Below are 23,578 nucleotides of genomic sequence, written 5' to 3' on the forward strand. Positions count from 1 at the left end.
CTTCAAGGAGTAAGAAGGATACAGATCAAACTCTGAAAGAGGTTAGATATGCAAAATATATGCAAAAATAAACTATTACTTGAAAGGGATGCTGGAGAAGCAGTTTCCTTAAAAGAGAGCTTCAACTTGCGTCCTTTGTGGGAATTTGTGAGGTGGTTCTTTTATATATATAGACTGACATCAAAAATCATTTCGATGAATGGGGGAAGCAAGAGGGGTTAAAGGTATGTTCTGTGAATCCAGAACTACACTTACCTAGGGGAGCCTTCATCTGGATCCTGAAAAATTGTAAGATGATTTAAAGAAAGAGGATTATACAAATAAGTATCTAGTCTTTACTTACAGATTTATAGTCTTTTGTGAGCATTGTTGTTCTTGCTTGCTTAAGTTACGAGTGAGAATAATTAGGGCCAAAGAGAACAGTTACCTGTCAAGTGGCAGAATTAGCTGCCAAACTCATGCTTCTTGGCTCTGCCCTGGCACTGTCTGAACTGACCCTGTTCCTTCTTGTGTTGCCCATCTGTAACAAGGTTCATTTGACCTATCGTGCAGCCTCCTCTGAGTGTGGAGCTTCTGTCACTCTGCAAACGGAAAGATGCGTAGCTGAAATCTTACCATTGTCATCAGTTTTCATTCATTAATAGAGGGATTGGCAGCCTGTAGCATGCATGGCCAAGATAACAGAGGATCAGTAATAAGTCACACACACCCCTTCCCCAGCATACCCCAAGGACTTACCTGATGTAATCAAGGAGCCACTTTATCCAAAGGCTTGAGAGATGATGGTGGGCTGATGATATATCACTCGGGCTCTAATAATAAAAATGTTATTCAAATACAGCATTTATTTTTGTTCTGCTGTAGAATCTGTGTTCATGATTCATTTCAAGAAAGAAAAGAGAAACATACTAGAAATTAGACCTCTCTGTTGGAAAAAGTTACTTCCCACTGATTTCAACATATGAGCAGCACTTAACTCTGTGCTTAGTGCAATTCTCTGAGGTTTTTCTAATACCCTAATTTTACCGGTGAGCAAATTGAGGCATCGAGAAGTTAAGTATCTTGTCCATGGTCACACTGAATCTGTAGTTACAATTTGAATTCAGAGTCCTGTACTGCATATTTGATATGTATGTGATTCTTTAAATTCAGGTTAACATGTATATTCAGCGAAATGTATTAATCTTAAAGGTACAGCTGCTTGTATTTTAACCACCATCCTGAACAAAATATTGAACATTTTCAGTCTCCCAGAAGGTAGCCTTGTGCTCCTTCCAAATTGATAACCCCCTCTTTTCCTAAAGGTTTCTTGTTTGTTTGTTTTTCAGATGGAGTCTCACTCTGTCGCCTAGGCTAGAGTGCAGTGGCACAATCTTGGCTCACTGCAACCTCTGCCTCCTGGGTTCAAGTAATTCTCCTGCTTCAGCCTCCCTAGTAGCTGAGATTACAGGCATGTGCCACCACACCTGGCTAATTTTTGTATTTTTAGTAGAGACAGGGTTTCACCATGTTGGCCAGGCTGGTCTTGAACTCCTGACCTCAGGTGATCCACCCACCTTGGCCTCCCAAAGTGCTGGGATTACAGGTGTGAGTCTCCTAAAGGTTTTAAATAGACCGTATATTTTCAGAAACTATGGCCTAATACTTTCAGATGCTTTCGTAATGCTGCTTTTTCTTAACTGTAATGTCTGTTACAGAAATCAGATGTCTTAGTTTTTGATACATCTTATCCTTAGGAATATTAAGAGAAATTATTTACACTTATAAAATGATATTTAACAAAATAGATATAATCATTAACAGGTTGGTTTTATATACCTTCACTTAGCGTTTATTGAGCATCTACCCATGTGCCAACCACGGAGCCAGTGGTGGAAATACGTAGTTCCTGATCTCAGGGAGCTTATGTTGTACTAGGGAAGAAGAACGCAAAGATAGAGACAGACTCCTACATTCAACTGTAAAATGAAATCATTTATAATAAAGTACAAGGAGAAACACAGGAGGAAAAGGCCCTAAATCTGCTTAGGGGGTCAGGAATGCTTTTGCAAAAGAGGCAGCACCTAAACGAAAATGAGTTTGCCCGGAGAATGAAAGGTGGGTTGAGGTTTAGGGGAGCTAACATTGCATCCACATGGAGGTAGAATAGGATATGCACATCCTTCACTCTCCTGATTAAGGAATGGTACCATAATCCAGTATTCCTTGAGTATATAGAACGGGGAGATGATGGGAAATGAATAGGATCAGAGGCTTCTAGATTTTTTTCAGATTAGCGTTGTAATGTCTTGGAAGAATTTTGCATAGAGGAGAGAAAATGAGATACATTTGTGTGTGTTAGAAAGCTCACCTTCCAGCATTGTTTATGAGGCATAGTTTATGAGGAAGGGAAGACTAGAGCTAACATGGTTAATCTGTTTGTTTGTTTTTTTTTAATGTGTGAGGAAACCCAGGCAGAAGTTAAGTAACTTGTCCCAGATGTTGTAATTAGTGAGTGGTAGAGCCAGGATTTAAACCTAGTCGAACAGCCTGATTTGTATGCTGAAATCTTAGCCATTCTGCCTTGGAAAAAGTCAGAGGCAGATGAGATGGGAAGAAGCATAGTCAGGGGATGATGGAGGCAGGGAGACCGTGGGAGACTTTCAGGTGTGCCATTCTGCTGACTAGAAGATCATGTTACTTCCAAATTTGTTTCTGGGATTTTACATTTGTGGTGTATTTTTTTTCTTAATGGTTGTGGTGTGTCTCATTTAAGCTGCTATTATTAATTCACAGAACAAAAGTCCAGAATGTTGACCTAATTTTACAAAACAAGCTGCATATCAGCTGATGAATGCATGAGAAATTTTCAAGGCTTTCACAGTGGTCTTAAGGTAAGTTCAGTTATTTTTTTAAACAATACTCAGTATTGTTTTTAGTAAACTGTAATAAATTAGGTTTATTTTTGATAAGCAGTTGAACTTCACCTTAAAAACACTGTGAGAGTCTTAAACAGTTAACCTACTAGCCAGATTTTTCTGTTATCTCAAAGCCCAGGGCGAGTCGGAAGTCCCAAAGTTTCAGTTTTTCCCAGGTGGTCTTCAGTAGAGGTCCCCCATGATGCATTAGGAGGTGTTACTCTTTTGTAGATGGCAAAACTGGAATTCGATAGAGGTTGAATGACTTTGCCCCAGGTTATATAAGAGTTAAAACTGGGAGTGTGATCCCAAAGTCCAGATTCTTTCCACCACCCTCACACTGCTTCTGCAAGAAGGGAGTTTCAGTGTGGCAGTGTGAGTGGCTTGTGAGGGAAGGCTGGAGTGCTGCACAGTTACGCCCTGTGCTCTGCAGTAGTGCTCTTGAATTTCTGTATGGCTGATGTAGGTCAGACCTTCAGAGAGTGTTATGCCTACTAATCTTAATTAGTATATCCTAATACTGATTGTTAGAAGGCATTTTAGAATTTCTAGTGCATCACATGTTTATGTCTAAAAAATTAAATCTCTTTTCTACTGGTGTTGTCCATAACTAATGCATAATTAAGCCATAGCAGCGAGAAGTTGAGCAGAAATGAAAGCACCATACCTGAGCCAACAGACTCTTCCAATGTGAGACCCAGTTTACCTCTGGTCACTTGATATGGTTAAAATGTGAGCACTAGAAGCCTTTACGGAGCATCTAGTCTGGTCACTTTAAAGACCACAGATGATTGGCCCAAGGTTATCCAGCTGCTTCATGACACTAAGAATATGATCCACCTTTTTCTTGATGATAATTAACCTACTAGTTTGTGTCTGTCAATCTGCATGAATTGGGGTTGTTACACTTACAGGATTTTAGTAGCAGAGATTCATTATTTTAGAGAGTAGTAGAAATCTTTTGAGATTAAAGAGAAGAAAAAGGTTTAGGTGCAGCTCATTTGTTGATTGTTTTTAATAAGACCATTGAAAATATGGTAGATTATTATTTTTAAACTGTGAAAGAATACTGATATTGGTAAGTTTATTCATTTGTTGATTTGTGAAAGTAGAAAAACAAAACTAAGAAACATTTGATCATGTGTAAAATTTAATATAGAGAATACATATGAAGGATTTTTATTTCTGAAATTCTTTTAATTTTGCAGACTGGCTTAAAATATGCTCAAAGTAAATTTAAGTATTTGTATAAAGAAAAATCAAATATACAACATTAATCTTAAATGAACAATAGAATAATGCTTAACCTAGCTTTTCACCATCAACTCGAAGGAAGTCTAAATATTTTAAAACATTAAGAGAAGTACCTCCAAAAGAATGCACATAATTCTTTCCTAATGTGGGATTAGTAAAATATTGTAAATCTGAGAGCACATAGTAGCTTTGGTACTATCTAATGAGTTTCAAAGCCGTCTTCCAAGTTTCACAGTCATACTTGCATTATGGCTTAGGAGTGAGGCATTGTTGCACTGACCTGTCCTCCTCCAAAGAGCAGCTAAAAGCATGAGATGTGACATCCTTGGTAAAGTTCTTGCCAATTGCTGACAACTCACCTGGGGTGGCAGTCACCTGGCTTTTGCCCAGCGGGCTTACTTTAGACCATTGCTGGCAAGTAAAGCATTGTGGAGCTGCCTCCTGAAATTTCACTTGCCTGTCTTAATGTTGAAAAAGTTTCAAGTAGTTTCGCTTTAGAGTCACTAAGAAACCCAGTTATAATCTGAAAGTGAAATGAGATTTAGGTTTACATGACCCTTAGAGAATGAGGACAGGTATACTGTTAGATGAGACGGGATTAAGTCTGTGGTATTGAGCTGTTCAGGGTGTTTGCTGTATTATCTCAAACTACCTGTAGTGTATTTGTAGGTATGGGTGAGAGTAACTGTGCTTGGAATAGAAAAGCCCTGCTGCATCGAGACACAATGCTGGCAGCTGCGGCAGTGTACAGAGGTAAGGGGCGACCACTCTTTCACCCGCCTCACCAAGGCACTTGTGCTGTATCATGTTGATTCCCTTCACGTTGCCAATGCATTTTCCATTCCTGTTAAGGCTCCCTCAGACTTCTTGTCCTTCCTCTCAAAACACAGATCCTGTAGCTTTTTCCAGACAGCCTTTACTATTTCCTTACCCTCAGTATTAAGAATTTTTCATGTAAGATGTTCTCAGAATCTTACAAGTATCCTTGTACCCATTTCTTTTTGAAGAACATGACCTTTATTGAGCAGAAATTTTTTCCTACTTGCATTTTTTCAGACTTTAACCATTATTGTCTTTTTAGAAATGTACAGAAATGAAGATGGTTCAGTACCTGCTACATACCAGATCTATTACATGATAGGATGGAAATATCATGAGTCACAGGTAACGTTACTAAGATGGATCACTTTTCTTAGTGGGTTCGTGTTCAGATTATTGTTTACTAACTTGGGGGAAGGGGTAATGTAAGACAGCATTAAGGGCTTTAATTGGGGCTGTGTATTATCTATCTATTTCTAATATCTTTAATCTTTATTATTTTCAGGCAAGACCAGCTGAAAGAGGTTCCGCAACTGTGTCATTTGGAGAGCTAGGAAAAATAAACAACCTTATGCCACCGGGGAAAAAATCACAATAAATATTTATTCAGTGTTAATGTCGTCCAGAATTTTCATCAGAAATGGATAGCTTTAACATCTAAAATTATTATATTTTGAAGCAAGAAGCACTCTAAGCTATTTACTAATAGGCTTTTCATATAATTAGGAAAACCTAATATCACATCTATAGTAACCATTTCAGTTTCATATTGTTTCTGTTCTCATAAGGATACTGCTGAGTGTCTTTGCAGATTCAGCCTAAAAGCAAAGAAAATATTTCCCTAAAATATTTGCAAATAATGTTCACATATGTAAATGCCTTGGAAAATATTACTCATGCTGACCTTTTACACCTTTTTCATTTGTCATACTGTTTTCTTTGCCTTGAAGAGGAACAGATGAATATGCACCTTCTCCAGAGTTATGTGGTTTTAGAATTTAGAAGAGCATGTATCTTTATTAAATCCCTCCTCAACTCTTTTTTTTTAAAGCATCTGAATTTAACCTTATTTCTTTTTTATCTCCATGGTGTGGGTGGGACCACCATGGTTTTACACCCCACCCTACCTTAGGGAAGAAGAAAACATTTTAAAGAATACCAGAAGTAGAATCACATGTAACAGTCTCTGCACAGTCATCAGTTTATTGTTAAGCTTTCCTTTGTAATTTCAGGGCTTAAGCACTATTATCCTAATCCAAGTTCACAGTCCTGTTGTTGTCGAGGAGGGTTCAAAATCATTTGGAGATAATCAAGCTCAGACAGCTTAGGATAGGTGAGAAGAACATAGAGGAAGCAGGGAGAAGGCTGAGAAGCAAGCAGGAGTGAGCGCTAAGTGTTTTGTTTCCAGTTAGCTGTTCGCTGTCTTTTCCATTTAACCTGGGCACTGCCCTAGCCTCATCTTCAGCCTTCAGTGATCTATAATAGCATTTCCTTCTGTCTCCTCTCAGTCTCTCTTCTGCCTTCCTTCCCTCCTTTACTGTATTAGCAACAAGCTGTCCATGGGTGGGGGCTGTGTGTTAGCCTGTACGTAGCACATGGGACTTTCCACATAGTAGATATTCAGTTACATTTTGAACTAATTATATAACAAACTTGCCCTTTGAAAGACTAAGTTATAGTTAAAAACCAAGATTTGTAGGAGAAAAAGAAATTATTGTTCCCTTCAGTTTGAAAAATCATCGATATTTGAAACTGGGATACGCTTGGTAGCTTTTTTGTTTTAACACAAAGTAAACCTGTGAAGTAGAATTTGGCGTTTTGTTTTTTGGGGTTTTTTTTTTTTTTAGCTTAATTTTCAGAACTTGAAGAGAGAGAACAACAACAAAAAACAAACTGCGCTAGCCAGGTGCAATGGCGCATGCCTGTAGTCCCAGCTACTTGGGAGGCTGAGGCAGGCAGGAGTTCAAGGCTGCAGTGAGCTGTCTGTGCCACGGCACTCCAACCTGGGCAAAAGAGGAGACCTCATCTAAAGAAAAATCCACCAAAAACCCTGTGTTTTAAAGTGCAAACTGATGATGGAGGAATGGGTAAATTCCAGGGGTCTATATTTCCAAAAGGACATGTGTTTTTGTGCACTAATACTTGTTTTTGAAGAACACATCTCAGTGTTAAGTGGCTGTTGCTGAGGAAGGGGACTGAGGAACTGGGTGTGTCTGTGTCATTCTGTTTGAATGTCTGTCAGGGGTATAGAAACTAGGAGGGAGACTTGTACTTTTCACTTTTTAAACTTCCTGTAAAATTTGAATTTTCCAAGCAAGAATATTACTTTTGCTTATTTAATGTCAACGGAATTATATGTGGATGGTGGGGTGGAGCTAAGGATTACTCTACTCTGGCTATCCCAAAAAAAGCTCCATTTGTTTAAAAAAATTAAGTAAATCAAACACAGCTAATTGAGGACCCTTATTGTTTAATGTGAGTGATTGTAGTGAAAACACTTATTTTAGTGTGTATAACACTAGTGAAATTATTTTTGTAGTTAAATCTGCTGGAAGTGTGCTATTAAGCTTTTATTGTTTGGAGCCCTCAGGAAACTAATTTTTCTGAATAACCACATTTTCCAAATGATTAAGAGCTCATCCTTTTAAGCAATGAAACTTTTAAAAGGTCTTTATCAAAAATTTTTCATAAATGTTACATTCTTAAATGGTATATGATAAATAATCATCTTTTTTGTTGGTTTATTTTTTTATTTTTTATTTTATTTTATTTTTTGAGACGGAGTCTCGCTCTGTCTCCAGGCTGGAGTACAGTGGCGCAATCTCGGCTCACTGCTGCCTCCGCTTCCTGGGTTCAAGTGATTCTTCCTGCCTCAGCTTCCCAAGTAGCTGGGATTACAGGCGCGTGCCACCACGCTGGCTAATTTTTGTATTTTTAATAGAGATGGGGTTTCACCATGTTGGCCAGGATGGTCTCAATCTCTTGACCTTGTGATCTGCCCACCTTGGCTTCCCAAAGTGCTGAGATTACAGGTGTGAGCCACCAGGCCTGGCCAATAACCATTTCTTGATAACCCCACAGATAATATCATAAACTCAAGTTGTCTGTATTGCTTCTTCCCAGACTGGTCCCAAGAATGCTGTGGTTGGTTTTGTGTCTTTTCCAGCACTTTTCTTACTTGCTGTCAGTTGTCAATCTCAACACCTTGACCAAAATGAACTTTCTTGAGTCATTTCTTCTCTGTTTAGCTATAAGATTAGAATTCATACTGAAAGATTTCTAGGACTTTTGTATTAAGGTAGGAAAGAGGAACTAGGTTCTGGGAGAAAGACTCCTTTGGAATAAAATTCATGAGCTTTATTGGTTCCTTTAACAGATCTTCATTGAGTTTCATGTGCCAGGCATCCAACTAGTCTCTGCTTTTATAGTTGTCAGTCTGACAGGGCTCTAGTATGTGCACACCGTGACACCTGTTGGCTGCCAGGAGACTGTTTGGCTTATTTCCTGGTTCTTAGCAATATTCCAGGTTGGCCTGGAGAATTCCAAAGGTAAATATGAAAATGTATACCTACAAAAGAATTTTTGCTTTATAGGAAGAATTTGTAGGATTTATTGAGATGTAAGCTACCTATATACATCAAGTATGTGATATGATTGTAAAAAGTTACAGAAGTGTGTGAGTCATGAAGTACCTGTGAGGGAAGTTTATATATTTTTTCAAACTCTTTTAGTACCATTTTCATCCACTAGGTGGAAGCAATTACAGTATGACCTGCATTAAAGACATGTACAGTTTTTTGGCCGGCTGCAGTGGCTCACACCTGTGATCTCAACACTTTGGGAAGCTGAGACGGGAGGATTGCTTGAGCCCAGGAGTTTGAGACCAGCTTGGGCAACGTGATGAAACCCTGTCTCTACAAATAAAAAAAAAATTAGCCAGGCATGGTGGCACAAGCCTGTGGTCCCAGCTACTCAGAAGGCTGAGGTGGGAGTATTGATCGAGCCCAGGAGGTCAAGGCTGCAGCAAGCTGTCGCACCACTGCACTCTAGCCTGGGCAACAGCAAGACCCTCGTCTCAAAAAAGAAAAAAAAAAAGTACAATTTTTGTATTGATTATGTATTCCTTAAGTAGGAGTGGAATAAAAGTATTTTACCGTGGATTGGCTTCTGTGAAGGAAAGAAGTGAATATTAGTAGATATTTGGAAAAAAGAAAGATAGTTGATGCAGTGATTATTATTCTGTTCCTTTGTAAGTTACCATTAGCCTCTCTTGCTTAAGAAATATTTTGAGCTTTTTTGGGGAGGGGTTGTGGTTAATGATGTGAAATTAATCTTCAGGAAATTTATCATAAGCAGACTTGCCTTTTCAGATATTGGTATATTTTAATTCTCTACCTGAATACATACATGACAGTTATTTTACCATGCTGGTTTAAAAAACATCAATTTGAAAATACTAGAAGGTGGGGTGAACACTGATAAGTTACTGTTAACAAATAAGAAAATAATGCTTTGCCATCTGTGGTGGTTTTAAAATCTATCCACAAATTTTTGATATGCTTCTCTTTAAGACGGGACACTTCATTCCCCTCTAAGTACAGGCTGAGTTTAGTGATTCCCTTCCAACAAATAGATGGTGTGTCACTTCTGAGACTAGGTAATAAAAGGCATTGCATCCTCCTTACTCTCTCTTGGATCCTTCACTCTAGGGAAAGCCAGCAGCCATATTGTAAGGCCACTCAACTCCATGGAGAAGACCTAGAAGTGAGGAGCAGAGGCCTCCAGCCAAAAGCCATGTGAGGGAGCCATCTTGGAAGCAATTCTCCAGGCCCAAACTTCAGATGACTGTGGTCCCAGCCAATGCATTGACCACAACCTCATGAGAGACCCTGAGCTAGAACCACCTAGCTAAGCCACTCTCAAATATCTTATCTACAGAAACTGAGATGATAAATGTTTGTGGTTTAAGCAACTGTGTTTTAGAGTAATTTGTTACACAGCAATAGATAACTGATACGCGATACACTGTCTTCAGGAGGTGTATTAGGGTGGGCAAGGTATTCTGAGTTGTTATTTTCAGCATAAAACATAGCCCCCTTATTTACAATTAGGTAAAGTTAACATAAACTGTATTACTTTTGTTCTCAGAGAACACCAGACCTGAAATGCTCTTGCCTGGAGGTTTGATTCCATGATATCTTGAAATGGAACTAACTTCCCACATTAAGTTTAGTAGGCCTCAAATTTTCTTTCCTGGGAATATTAGGATAAATTTTTTGGAAGCCTCGATGGGCTAATTTCCAAATGAAATCAGAGAATTTGGGAAGACCATGAGAATTCAGTGAGCTACATAACTGCACACAGATTCTTCAGCCAGTTCCCTTCTGCCGTAGCTGTTGAGTTGCGACAGCTCATTAGGATGGACTGTTGACACTGCATACTTGTTACCAGGCTCACAAATGAGTACAAGGATGTGGAAATAACAAGGACTCTTTAAAGCCAGACTTGATCGTACATTGTTAGTCACTGCTAAAACCAGGCAAAAGTAAATTGCCTGCACTTTGAAAGTGGCCATTGTAACCCGGCCAGTGTCTAGACTCTTCATTCAGGAATCACACGTTTGGCCAGGATGCCCGTTGCTAGTTCTGTCAGAACAGGTCTGGTGGTAGAATATCAGGAACACTTACCAGGTGTACTGTTTTTGTGCTCAGAGTGTTTGTGCTCAGATTGTGAGTGGGAGATTGGGAAGAGGAGAATTCCAAAGAAAGACTTGCCAGTCTGCCATAAAAAACTATGGAAGTCAAAGAAAGGTCGGGGACTGGGAGTCAGGTGGTCTGGGTTTAGTGCTGGTCCTGTTTGTTCCTAATGCTGGGGCAGACTCCATCTCTCTGACCTCAATATCTTCATCTGTAAAATTACAGGTTTGCTAATTGGTGAGTCTCAAAGGAGGCTACCAGCCTGCCTTTCACGTTCCTGAAGGGCTTTTTCAAACACTTCCACCTTTCTCTCCTTGGTTGAGAGTCACAGCCAGAGGGAGCTCATGTTAGAGGTGGGAAATGGTTGCGAGCCATTGGACAGGATGATCTCAGAGGAGCTTTTCAGCCTGACCCCAGAACCTGGGTCCCAAGGCAAAGTGGACAGGAAGCCCTCCCATCTTTACAGTTTCTCAGACTCTGTTGACCTTGGGGACTTCTTTTCCCTTCAAAGTAGACTTTGACTTCCCCTGAGGATAAGATTTAAGAAGGAAGCACAGCATGATTTACTTTGGGTCCCTTAATCTTTAAAAAGTGAGTCAGCATGCTGGGGTTTTTTGGGTTTTTTTGTTTTTGTTTTTACTCCTGGGCTTAAGCTCCCAAGGAGCTGGGCTTACAGGCATGTGCCACGATGCCCAGCTCAATAATGCATTTTGTTGTTGTTGTTTGAGACAGTCTTGTTCTCTCGCCCAGGCTGGAGTGCGGTGGTGCCACTTCGGCTCACTGCAACCGCCGCCTCCCGGGTTCAAGTGATTCTCCTGCCTCATCCTCCCAAGTAGCTGGGATTATAGGCCTGCATCACCATGCCTGGCTAATTTTTGTATTTTTAGTAGAGACAGGGTTTCACCACATTGGCCAGGCTGGTTTCAAATTCCTGACCTCAGGTGATCTGCCTGCCTTGGCCTCCCAAAGTGCTGGGATTACAGGCGTGAGCCACCGTGCCTCGCCAAAGAATGCATTTTCATTTTTAAGTTTCTGGGTCACAAAGGAGGGCCCCAGACCCTTATATGTCCAGCATGGATAGCCTTCTATATTTTCCATGGAAGATGACATTTTCTCATAGGCACCAAGCATTCAGCATTTGGGAAGTGTCCCTTAGTTTTGCACAAAGTTCCCAGTTACTTGTCTAGGTGACAAGTCCTGGCTGCAGAACAGGAAATGCTCAGGCTTCAGGTGGCAGCACTCTGGAGGGCCAAGTGAAGAAATAGATACGAAAGTACTGGTTGTCCATGTAATTTCCTGAGGAGCCAGCTGAACACTCATGGTTCTCCACAAAGGAGGCTTCTTTGAACCTGTACACAGTTGTTACGGATTGGTAAAGCCCTCTTGAAGGCGCCCTTACTGTGCTCTCACCAGGCAGTGTGCTAAGCCTTAGATATCCATTCTCAATTCACATTTCATCCTCAGTTCCCTATGAGATATTAGTACTATTGTCCCCATTTGTTAGATGAGGAAACAGGCTTAGGTTGTGACTTCTCCAAGGTCACATAAGTGACAGAGACAATTTTGACTTCAGTCTTGTATGTGAAGGGAACAGTACAATTAATGATTGTAGTGTGCTGCCTTCTTTGCAAGTCAAAACCTTCTGTGAGCTCCCAGCCTTTCTTCACATCCTCCCTTCCACCATACCCTTGAACACTCCAGCCGCATATTAGAACCAGTCAGGTGATTGCACCCACTGTCTCCAACACTTGCTCAGCCCCGTCCTTGAATCCTTGTCCCTGCAGAACTGCCTGCACTCCAAACTCTTCTGGGTCCCTTCTACTGGGAGCTGTCACCCTTCATATCCAGCTCTTTTTTTGTCCCAGGCCATCTTGAACTTTGGTTAGTTCCATCTCCTTTAGCACTTTGTACATCATTTCCTGTTCATGAATTCTGCCTCTTCAGCTAACTGTTTAGCTTCCTTGAGCATTGGCACTGCAATAACCAGGGTTCCAACAGCCCCAGGGAAAGCCCAGATAGAGTCACTATGACCCCTGTGAGCACGGCACAGCAGGAGACCGGAAGAACAGGCAGCTAGCATCAGGCACGTTCAGCTGCAAATTCTAAGGATCAGCCACTCAATTGGGATTCAAAGCTAGACTCCTATCTCAGAGGAATCTGGGTCCCAAGGAAAAAGAGACATGCATGTGAATGATGGGGCAGAAATACAATTGCTGGGACTGAGAGACAGGGAAGGGCCTGACTTTAGAGAGTAAGCCTAGAACCATGATGTGAGGTCAAAGCAGGGCCTGCAGCGCAGCTGACGGCATTATGTCATGGGGCAGGGTAGATTCCCATCCAGACAAGATGTTCACCTATTATTAGATATAGGGTGGCCCAGTGGAGTAGTGGCTAAGATTAGCATGAGTTCTGAAGTCACACCCTCCCATTGGATCCCCTTTCTACCACTAACTAGCGTACCTGTGTTTAGTTACTCAACTGCTGTGAAATGAGAACCATTCTTCAAAGTATCAATATAACACTTAGCAGGTAAAGCATCACACTTCTTAGGCTTAGGAAGCCAAGCTCATTAGATGCCTTAAGTGTCTGGTACAATAACTCTTACATTTATAGGTGTTGCAAAAGAAGGTAGAGGTGGAGCACAGGAGATGGAGAGGAGAATTTCCAGAGGTAAATGTGGTTAGCAAAGCTGAGGTAAGCATGTGGATATCTTTCCTGTAAGGTTTCGCAGAACCTTTGATGTAATTCTGAATCTCCCAAAGCAGGCTAAATTTTAGGACATCTTCCAGACTTAATGGTCCAGTAACCCTTTTATCAAGGAGGATCAAGTAAGACCTTGAACTCGTTTGGGGAAACATTAGCCTAGCACAATGCTAGGCATTGTACAGGCTTGTTAAATAATTTGAATAATTCTCGAAAAATCTACATTCAGTTATCAGAATCTGTTCACCTGCAAAATTGTTTATGAACTTTCTCAAGGCAGTCAATGCAATGGTTAAGTACTGGCTATGTGGTCTTGGACAAGTTACTTGACCTCAGCTTCCTCTTCTGTAAAAGAGGGATGATGGGCCTGGCACAGTGGCTCACGCTTGTAATCCCAGGACTTTGGAAGGCTGAGATGGTGGCGCACACCTGTAATTGCAGCTACTCAGGAGGCTGAGGCAGGAGAATCGCTTGAACCCGGGAGGCGGAGGTTGCCGTGAGCCAAAAAATCACACCACTGCACTCTAGCCTGGGCAACAGAGTGAAACTCTGTCTCAAAAAAAAAAAAAGGAAGGATACAGTATTCTCCCAGGAAGGCAGTTGTGAAGATCAAATGAGCTAATAATACATTCAGTCAGAACAGTGCCTGGCACATAATAAGCATGATATGTTAGCTATTATTATTCTAGACAGAATGAATTTCGGGGAAGCTCTTAAGAATAAACTATTGACTGCTGTTGTAGTGCTAGTTTACCATTTGTTCTGCATTCAATTCCCTCTTGCTTACTTGGAAGACTGATTAATAGACAGGTACTGCTTAAAGTCACTGTCCCTTTTTAAAAAAGAATAAATCACTTGACTCAGACAGCTATTTTGTTTCTATGGCAAAGTCTAAATAGAATTCAAATATAAGAAATTCATTTAATGCTTTATTAGGTGAAGATTGAACATATTTTCTTTTAGAGGCACTTCATCTTTACCTAGAATTATTTTCTGATTAATGAAAATACAAGTTAGGATAATTCATTTCACACCAGTACACACCTCAAAAAACAGGAAGTAAATGTTTCCATATTGATACAAATGCTGGATGAAATTAATTAGGTGGCCAAAAAACAGCTAAGAATTCAAATCTCACAGCCTAAAAAATAATTCTATTCTTGCCACACATGAAAAGATTTTTTAAATTTTTTGTTATAGACAACTATAACAACACCTCTTAACACCTGAGAGGCTAGAGTGAATTATAAAACTTTTGAGCTATAGGACATTAGAGCAATCTTGCTTTGCAAATAAGGAAATTGAGTTACGCAGAGAGGGAATGACTTGCTTGAGGTCATAGCTAGGGGTGGAGAGAGAGGACATAGGTGTTCCAGTGTCTTGCCCAGAAATCTATGGCAGGCTTGACAGTTACACAACCCCAGCTCAGCCACAGGCCCAGACAGTGCACCTGCCCTCCTCAGGAGGTTTAGAGAAAGGTATGAAGGTTCTCATGGTCCCTTGGGGAGCTCTCCATTCCAAAGACCTCCAGTGAGGAGTCCTTCACAAAGTCCAGAGTCACCCCACATTGAATTTGTTTAGAGCAAATTTCTGTGTTGCAGGTTACGACAGACCTCAATGGGCTGTGTGTTGAGAATAAAAACAAAAAATACTGTTCCCTGGGTCTCACTCCCAGAGATTCTGATTAAATTTGGCACTGAGAGTTTTAAGAGCTACAGCCCCTGCTCCAGAGCAAGAGTTTTCTGAGCAGAGAAAACTTCTACGTGAATCACAGACCCCTTTTTACCTCCCCACCACTTCTGTTGCAGTCAGGAATTTTGAAGAACCGCTGCTGCTGCTGTTGTGTTGGTTCTGGAAACACGTGTGTCATTGCACACTTCACGATGGATTTACATTAGAGAGGGAAGTTGTGTCAGACTGGCCTGGGAGTGAAGCAGGGTGGGTGTGGACAAGTTCTTCATTCAGTACTTATTGAGCACCTACTATATACGAAGCTCACCGAGAGATGAGAGGAACCTGATCACTGCCCTCACAGAGCTCACAGCCCAGCCAACTAGAGACCACGGGGAAGCTGACATTGTGCGTTTTCTTGGGACCAAAAATACTTTGATTAAGGCACCGATGTGGAAGGCACGGTGCAATGCTGATACTTGGATAAATAGGACAGGGTCCCTGCCTTCATTACACTGGTATAAGGTGACATGGGCAGTCAACCATAGTTCAAAGTAGAATATAAGAAGTGCCAGGAAAGATGTCTGACCATGAGCCTTACGAGTTCCAAGGAAAGTGAGTGCTGTCTGTGTGGTGGAACAGGTGGTATCAGGAAAGACTTCATCCATGTTTTCATTCATTCCACCCAAACCACACCATGCCGGGTGCTGGAGTGTAAGGAGGAAGAAACCCCAGCCATTAAGAGGCCTCCAGCCAAGTGGAGCAGAACAACAATAAACAATACAGTATTTCTTCAATTCTAAGTGCCTTCGACTGCAAATTGTATCCTGATTTTGGAGATGTTAAAATTTGGAAAAAGGTGTATTTTAGAATTAATGAAATAAAGGAGTAATAGATAACTCAGATGCTTACTATCTACCAGGCACTGTCCTAAGTGCTTATATGTATCACTTTTTACTTATTTAATAAAAGGCAATTACATGCAGTGACAAGTGGCTTTTGGGAAACACAGTGAATAAATGAGGAAGTGAATGAATAAATATTAGAAGAATAAACCCTTAATAAACCCTTTGTCTTCCATCCTTAGACCATCTGGATAAGGCAGTTCCTGGTCTAAGAATTTAGATCCTTACAAATGGTAATTTCCAAACTTTAGTGTTGTCAAGGAAACCACTAAGAGATAGATATAGATAGCTCAGTAATGATCCCATTCCTTATTTCTAACAAGTCCAAAGAAGCAGTGGTGTGTATCTGTGTGTGTGTGTGTGTGTGTGTGTGTTTGTGTGTGTGTGTTGTGAGGGAGAAGGGAGATACAAAGAATTAAAAAACTGTCACTCACAGGCAAGGCACAGTGGCTTACACCTGTAATCCCAGCACTTTGGGAGACCCAGGTGGGGAGATCACCTGAGGTCAGGAATTTGAGACCAGCCTGGCCAACATGGTGAAACACTATCTCTACTAAAATACAAAAATTAGCCGGGTGTGGTGGCAGTCACCTGTAATCCCAGCTACTCAGGAGGCTGAGGTAGGAGAATTGCTTGAATCCAGGAGGCAGGAGAGGTGGAGGTTGCAGTGAGCAGAGATCATGCCACTGCACTCCAGCCTGGGTGACAGAGCGAGACTCTGTCTCCTAAATTAAAACAAAAACAGTCCGGATGCGGTGGCTCACGCCTGTAATCCCAACACTTTGGGAGGCCAAGGCGGGCAGATGATGAGATCAGGAGATCAAGACCATCCTGGCCAACATAGTGAAACCCAATGTCTACTAAAAATACAAAGATTAGCTGGATGTGTTGGTGTTCACCTGTAGTCCCAGCTACTTGGGAGGTTGAGGCAGGAGAATTGCTTGAACCTGAGAGGCAGAGGTTGCAGTGAACTGAGATCATGCCACTACACTCCAGCCTGGAGACAAAGTAAGACTCCATCTCCAAAAAAAAAAGAAAAAGAAAAAGTAAAAAAGAAAACAACTATTACTCTTTTTAATTATTACACAGAGGGCGAATTTCATTTTAAAGGAGGTTGCCATTGCAAATTGTGAGTTCCTGAGGAAAACAGGATCCATTAATTGCACTTAATGTTCGGTGATAGGGTCTGCAGGTAATTGGAATTCTTGTCACGGGACCCAAAAATCCTACTTTAAAAACAGCTCTCTGGATGATTCTTGTGTACACTAGATTTTAAGAATCATTAATTTTGTCTCAGTCTCTGAAATAAGGAGGCATATTTGCCATACACACTAATGAGACCTAAATAGGGACTGGGATTTCAGGATGCAAAACCTACTCAAACTGCTTTGTCTTTCTCCCATCCCTCCCTCACTGTGCTTCCCAGCCAAGTAAATCACCAGCACCCAAGTTCTTATCCCAGGGTCAGCTTCTGGGAGAGCTAGAACTAGTACAGGGAGTTTGACCTTATTCTGAAGGCAATGCACAATCACTGAAGAGTATTTGGCTTTTTGTTTTAGAGATAGGGCCTTTATCTGTGGCCCAGGCTGGAGTGCAGGAACACAATCATAGCTCGTTGCAGCCTGGAACTCCTCAGCTCAAAAGGGATTCCCCTGCCTCAGCCTCCTGAGTGGCTGAGAGAGACTACAGGTGCAAGCCACCATACCTGGCTAATACTGAAGAGTTTTAATTGAGGGAGTGGCAAGCAATTTCTTTTTTAAAAAGATCTTTCTGGGTTGGGCACAGTGGCTCACGCCTGTAATCTCAACAATTTGGGAGGCCGAGGTGGGCAGATCAACCGAGGTCAAGAGTTCGAGACAGCCTGGCCAACATGGCAAAACCCTGTATCTACTAAAAATACAAAAATTAGCCAGGAGTGGTGACAGGTGCCTGTAATCCCAAGTACTTGGGAGGCTGAGGCAGGAGAATTACTTGAACCCAGGAGGCAGAGGTTGCAGTGAGCCGAGATTGCATCACCATCCTCCAGCTTGGGTGACAGGGTGAGACTCCATCTCAAAATAAATAAATAAATAAAAAAGATCTGTCTGGATACAGTGTGGAGAATGGAATCAAGGAGACAGAACATTTAGAGTAACAAGAGCCCAGGGGTAGAGGTGGAGGCAGACTGCACAGGGGTGAGGACCATGGATGAGGATTGAAAGGGAGGGTAATCAATAGGCCTTCATGATTGATTGATTGCTTGGAGGTAGGGGAAGGATGGGAGTGCTGGATGAAACTGCCCTGGGAGAATGTACAGACTGAGGAGAAAATAGCGCACAAGGAGAGGTCTTCCTTCCCATTTGAGTTGGCTCTTGAAAGATGGCGAAGACTTTTTAGAAAACATTTTTTCTTAGCCAGGCGCGGCAGCATGCTCCTATAATCCCAGCTAATTGGGAGGCTGAGGTGGGAGGATTACTTGAGCTCAGGAGTTTGAGGCTGCAGTGAGATATGATCACACCACTGCACTCCAGCCTGGGTGACAGCAAGACTCTGCCTCTTTAAAAAACAAACAACAACAAAACAACAACAAAACACGTAGGTAGAAAACATTTTTTTCTAATTACCCCCACCATCATTATAAAAGTTATTCATGTTCACTGTGAAAATTTTGGGAAATTTTTAAACCCTATAATACCATCAACGCCTATTAAAATATCAGTGTATATCGCTCCAGATTTTACTAACAGCTAGCTACCTAGATAATAAACATCAAATCATCCTGTATACTGTATGGCATCCTGCCTTCTTCAATAATACTATGCTATGGGCATTTTTCTGTCATTCTTTTTTAAAAAGTATGATTTTTAATGGCTACATATTTCATCGTGTGAATGTACCACACATTATTTGATGATTTCTATTTTTAGGACTATGTCTTTTCCAACCTTTTTCCCATTATAGACAGCTACATGATGAGTAGAATAAATTACTAGGACTAGAATTGCTGAACTAAAGTATGTGAACATATTTAGGGCTCTTGATATTTATTATCCCAGAATAATTATGCCTCTGTACATCTCATACTAACTGGGTAGGTCAGCTCCAGGAGGGCAGGGGTTTGGGTCTGTATTGGTCATTGTTATATCCCCAGGACCTGGAAAGTTCCTGGACCCTAACAGATTTTCAATAACTACTGAATGTTCAAAAATTATGAATGAACAAAGAGCAAGTGAATGAATGTCTCACCATACCCTCACTATACTGGTTATAATTATTTATTAGATCTTTAGCATTATATTATTGTTTTCATTGCTTGGATTATTAAGTATCAGCTCACATGCTTTCCTGTGGAAGGATAGTGGCTAACTTTGGCATTTGATGAGAACCAAGTTCAAATACACTTATTAGCTGTGTGATTTTGAGTCTTGCTTCACTACTCCTTTTCAAATGGACATGATAGTAGTATCTCCCTTACAGAATCACTGTGGTGAAGAATGATATATGCATAGACTACTCACAGTGTCTGTAAATAGTGGCACAAATAAATGTTGCATATGTGTTAAATGATTTATATTTTCACATCCCCTGCCCATTTTTTTTTCTAGTTCATAGTTTAAGTGTTACAGTCCTTAACTCACTGACACATTTATTATGACATTTCCCCTCATTTCTGTCATTTTGTATATGGTGGCTTTCTTAATGTTCCAAAATTTTATTTTATTTCTACCCTAATCTGTGCAGCTTTTCCTTTCTGATGACTTTCATTGCTTTGGTGCTTAAAAATTATTTCCCCACACTGGGATCTTAAACATTTTTTTTTTTTAGGTTGCTTTAAATTTTTTCTAGCCTTTTTTAAACGGTCCTGCACAAAATGGTTTAATCTATTGTTTGTTTTTGTCTATGGTGGGGCATATATTAATTAGACTAGCCTAGATTAGGCAGCAGTTACAAATAAACTCTGAAATGGCTTCGCACAAGAAAAGTTTATTTCTCATTCAGGCCTAGTCTATGTAAGTTGGGGAGGGGATCACCATGTAGTGACTGGGAGATCCACACGCCCTCCATCTGGAGCTAGCGCTTTCTCATCCTGTGGTTTCTAAGTTCTTAGCAGGAAAAAAGAAGGGTGGAGGAAGCAAACACCAGCTTTCAACTGCTTTGCCTTTCTAGAAGTGACAAATACCACTTGTACTCACAGTTCATTGGACAGAACTGGTTACCTGGGCCCAACATAGTCACCAGGAGGCTGGGAAATTTAGGGGAGCATGTGGAATGTTGATTAATGAGCACCCACTGTCTCTATGAGAGGGGGTGAGGGAATAATCCATTTTTTTTCTGAAATTATCCCAGGATCCCTTTTCTTTTAAGTTAGAGATTATTAAAAGTTACGGTGAAGTTTAAGGAATAAAATAACATTCATATCCCCCAAACCCTAACTTAATAACTGTTAAGATTTTGTCATATTTGTCACCATTTATTTTTTATTACAGCTTGGAGATGCCATTTGTATACCCTAAAATTTGCCCTTTTATAGTGAACAATTCAGTGGTTTTTAGTGTATTCACAGAGTTGTCCAACCATTACCAATATTTGATATTAAGACATTTTTCGTCACTTCCACAAGAAACATCATGCCCATTAGCAGTCATTTTCCACTCCCCATCAACCCCTGGGCCCTGACTACAACTCATCTAAATTCCTTCTGTCTCTGGGAACTTACCTATTCTGGATATTTCATATAAATGGAATCATACAATATGTGGCCTGGCTTCTTTCACCTAGCATAATATTTTTAAGGTTCATCCATGATGTTACATGTATCAATACTTCATTACTTTTTATTGCTGAATAATACTCCATTGTATGGATATACCACATTCTGTATATCCATCTGTTGATAGATATTTAGGTCGTTTCCACTTTTTGACTGTTGTGGATAATGCTGCTATGAATGTTTGTGTACAAGTTTTTACGTAAACATGTTTTCAATTCTTTTACGTGTATACTAAGCAGCAGAATTGCTGGCTCATATAGTAACTCTATGCTTAATTTTCTGAGAAACTGCCAGACTGCTTTCTACATAATGCATTCTGCTGTTATTCTATAGGTAACTATTAGGTCTAGTTGGTTTGTAGTGTTGTTCAAGTCCTCTAGTTCTTTATGATCTTCTGCCTAGTTATTCTATCCATTATTAAAAATGGGATATTAAACAAATGTTGTTGAATTTTCTATTTCTTCCTTTAATTCTGTCTGTTTTTGCTTCATGGATTTTGGAGTTCTGTTGTTATATGCATATATATTTATAATTGTTACATCTTCTAATAAATTTCCCCTCTTTCATTATAAAATGTCCCTTTTCTCTCTAATACCTTTTTTTTGTCTTCAAATTTATTTTGTCTAATACTAGCATAGTCACTTTTGTCCTTTTGGTTACTGTTTGCATGGTACACCTTCTTTCAACTTTTACTTTAAACTTATTCATGTCTTTGAATCTAGAGCATGTTTCTCGTAGACAGCATATGGTTAGATTATGCTTTCTAGAAAATTAATTCTGCCAATCCCATCAGAGATAATCATTGTGATGAAACATCCATTTTCACTGTGATGAAACATCCATTTTCATTCTGCATTTGCAGAATTTTCTAACATATGACCTATATAGATACATCTTTTTTTTTTTTTTACAAACTGTGACCAAATTTTATAAACTGTTTTGAAATATGCTTTTTTCCACATCACAATAAAACATGGTATTTCCAGGTCAGTAAATATTATTAAATGGCATCATTTTAAATTGCTCTATGTTGTCTTGACTAGATGTATGACAGTTTATTTATCTAGTGTATTATTTAGGTGACTTCCAATTTTTTGTCATTATAAATAACACCAGGGAAACAGCATCCTCATAGCTAATTTTATGCATGTATTTGGTTATTATTTACTGTAAATGTCAAGAGGTGGAATTGATATAAACTCCCAAACCACCCAGTCTAGCCTCAGCATGCCAGAGTGCCAGTTTTCCCACACTTCAGTCCTTTTTTTTTTTTTATCAGATCACTTAAAAATAACACAAATGTAAAATGTAATCTGGACTTAGGGGGAATATTTGCCTCGATGGTTAGTCCCCGGTAGCTCAATAACGTAGTCTCCTGCTTTCTTAGTCAACTTGATGAAGTTTTAATTTAATGGCATCCTATTATGGACTAAAATCATGAACAGGCCAGTACAGGGAGAAACTAAGAACCAGAAGATTGTCACTGCTTTTTTGAGGAACTTCAGAAGACCTTATGTTAATAACTGTCCCAGGAAACACCAGCCTTGGGCTAATTATTATGGGCCTACGTGCACAAAGCTTTTGCTTCTTTCATTTTTCTAGGACTCTAGTTCCCTAATGAGCGCCGAAGTTCTCAGCACTCTGTTTCCTTGGTGTGTCCTGATATAGAACATATTGGGAAGATGGCTTGGCCACAAGCTGCTCTTAAACTACAAAATTTGTGCCTGGAGCAGCTGAATTTGTTTAATCGGGTCAAAAAAGGGCTTCCCCATTCTAGATTGTAAAAGCAAACAAAGTCCACGTTTCTTGTAATAGTTTTACAGGTTCATTTATTTATTACATTTAAATCTTTGCTTGTGTGAAATCTCTTTCAATGAAACTTGTGAGATAGGGATTTGAATTTATTTTTTCCAGTGGGCTACCCTATACTACAATACAATTCTGGATAACCTACCATTGCCCCTTTTTGTTTTTTAGAGTCAGGATCTCACTCCATCACCCAGGCTGGAGTGCAGTGGTGCGATCATAGTGCACTACACCCTCAAGCTCCTGGGCTCAAGTAATTCTCCTACCTCAGCCTCCCAAGTATTAATAGGTAGGACTGCAGGCATGTGCCATCATGCCCAGCTAATTTTTTAAATTTTTGTAGAGACGGGTTTCAAACTCCTGACCTCAAGCAATTTTCCCACCTTTGCCTCAAAGTGTTGGGATGACAGGCGCGAACTACCACACCCTCCCTTCTCCATTGATTTGAAATGCCACCTTATGTATTTGGGTCATTTCTGGATGCTCTATGCTGTCTTATTCAAATGGATTAATTATCATAGCTTTATATTTTATTGGCTTGTTTAGCTATTTCTTTCTCATTACTCTCCTTTTCCAGAATTGTCCTTGCCATTCATTTATGTTTATTTTTCCTTACAAACTTTGGAAGCAACTGACCTAGTTTAAAAAGCACTTTGTTGGTATTTTTATTAAGAATGTATTATTATTATTATTATTTTTGAGATGGAGTTTCGCTTTTGTTGCCTAAGCTTGAGTGCAATGGTGCAATCTCGGCTCACTGCAACCTCCGCCTCCTGGGTTCAAGCCATTCTCCTGTCTCAGCCTCCTGAGTAGCTTGGATTACAGGTGCGCACCACCACGCCCAGCTAATTTTTTGTATTTTTAGTAAAAATGGGATTTCACCATATTAGCCAGGCTGATATCGAACTCCTGACCTCAGGTGATCTGCCCACCTCGGCCTCCCAAAGTGATGGGATTACAGGCGTGAGCCACCACGCCCGGCCAAGAATGTATTATATTTAAAGATTCATTTTGGAAAAATTAATCTCTATATTTTGGCACTGTCCTGTTCGAACACAATAGTATGTTTCCATTTAT

The 23,578-nt window shown here is 40.2% G+C and overlaps 1 protein-coding gene across 18 annotated transcripts in view; it reads left to right on the plus strand.

Annotated features, from left to right (window-relative positions):
• The window catches only part of NDUFAF5 (NADH:ubiquinone oxidoreductase complex assembly factor 5), a 36,553-nt gene extending 26,615 nt beyond the window's left edge, over window positions 1–9,938 (plus strand). For 10 of the 18 annotated variants that reach the window (NR_147978.2, NM_001352407.2, XM_006723624.3 and 7 more), the window contains 3 exons: window positions 4,821–4,904; window positions 5,233–5,315; window positions 5,476–9,938. Coding sequence is in view for 10 of the 18 variants with exons in the window: in NM_001352407.2 (NP_001339336.1) it covers window positions 4,821–4,904; window positions 5,233–5,315; window positions 5,476–5,568 (260 nt within the window). In the remaining 8 variants the exon portion in view is untranslated. Of the gene's footprint in view, window positions 1–2,775; window positions 2,874–4,820; window positions 4,905–5,232; window positions 5,317–5,475 lie in introns of those variants that run through there. The other 8 variants (NR_147983.2, NR_147982.2, NR_147981.2 and 5 more) reach the window with 3 other exon arrangements.

The sequence above is a fragment of the Homo sapiens genome, chromosome 20 (assembly GCF_000001405.40).
Source record: "Homo sapiens chromosome 20, GRCh38.p14 Primary Assembly".
Taxonomy (NCBI): Eukaryota; Metazoa; Chordata; class Mammalia; order Primates; family Hominidae; genus Homo; species Homo sapiens.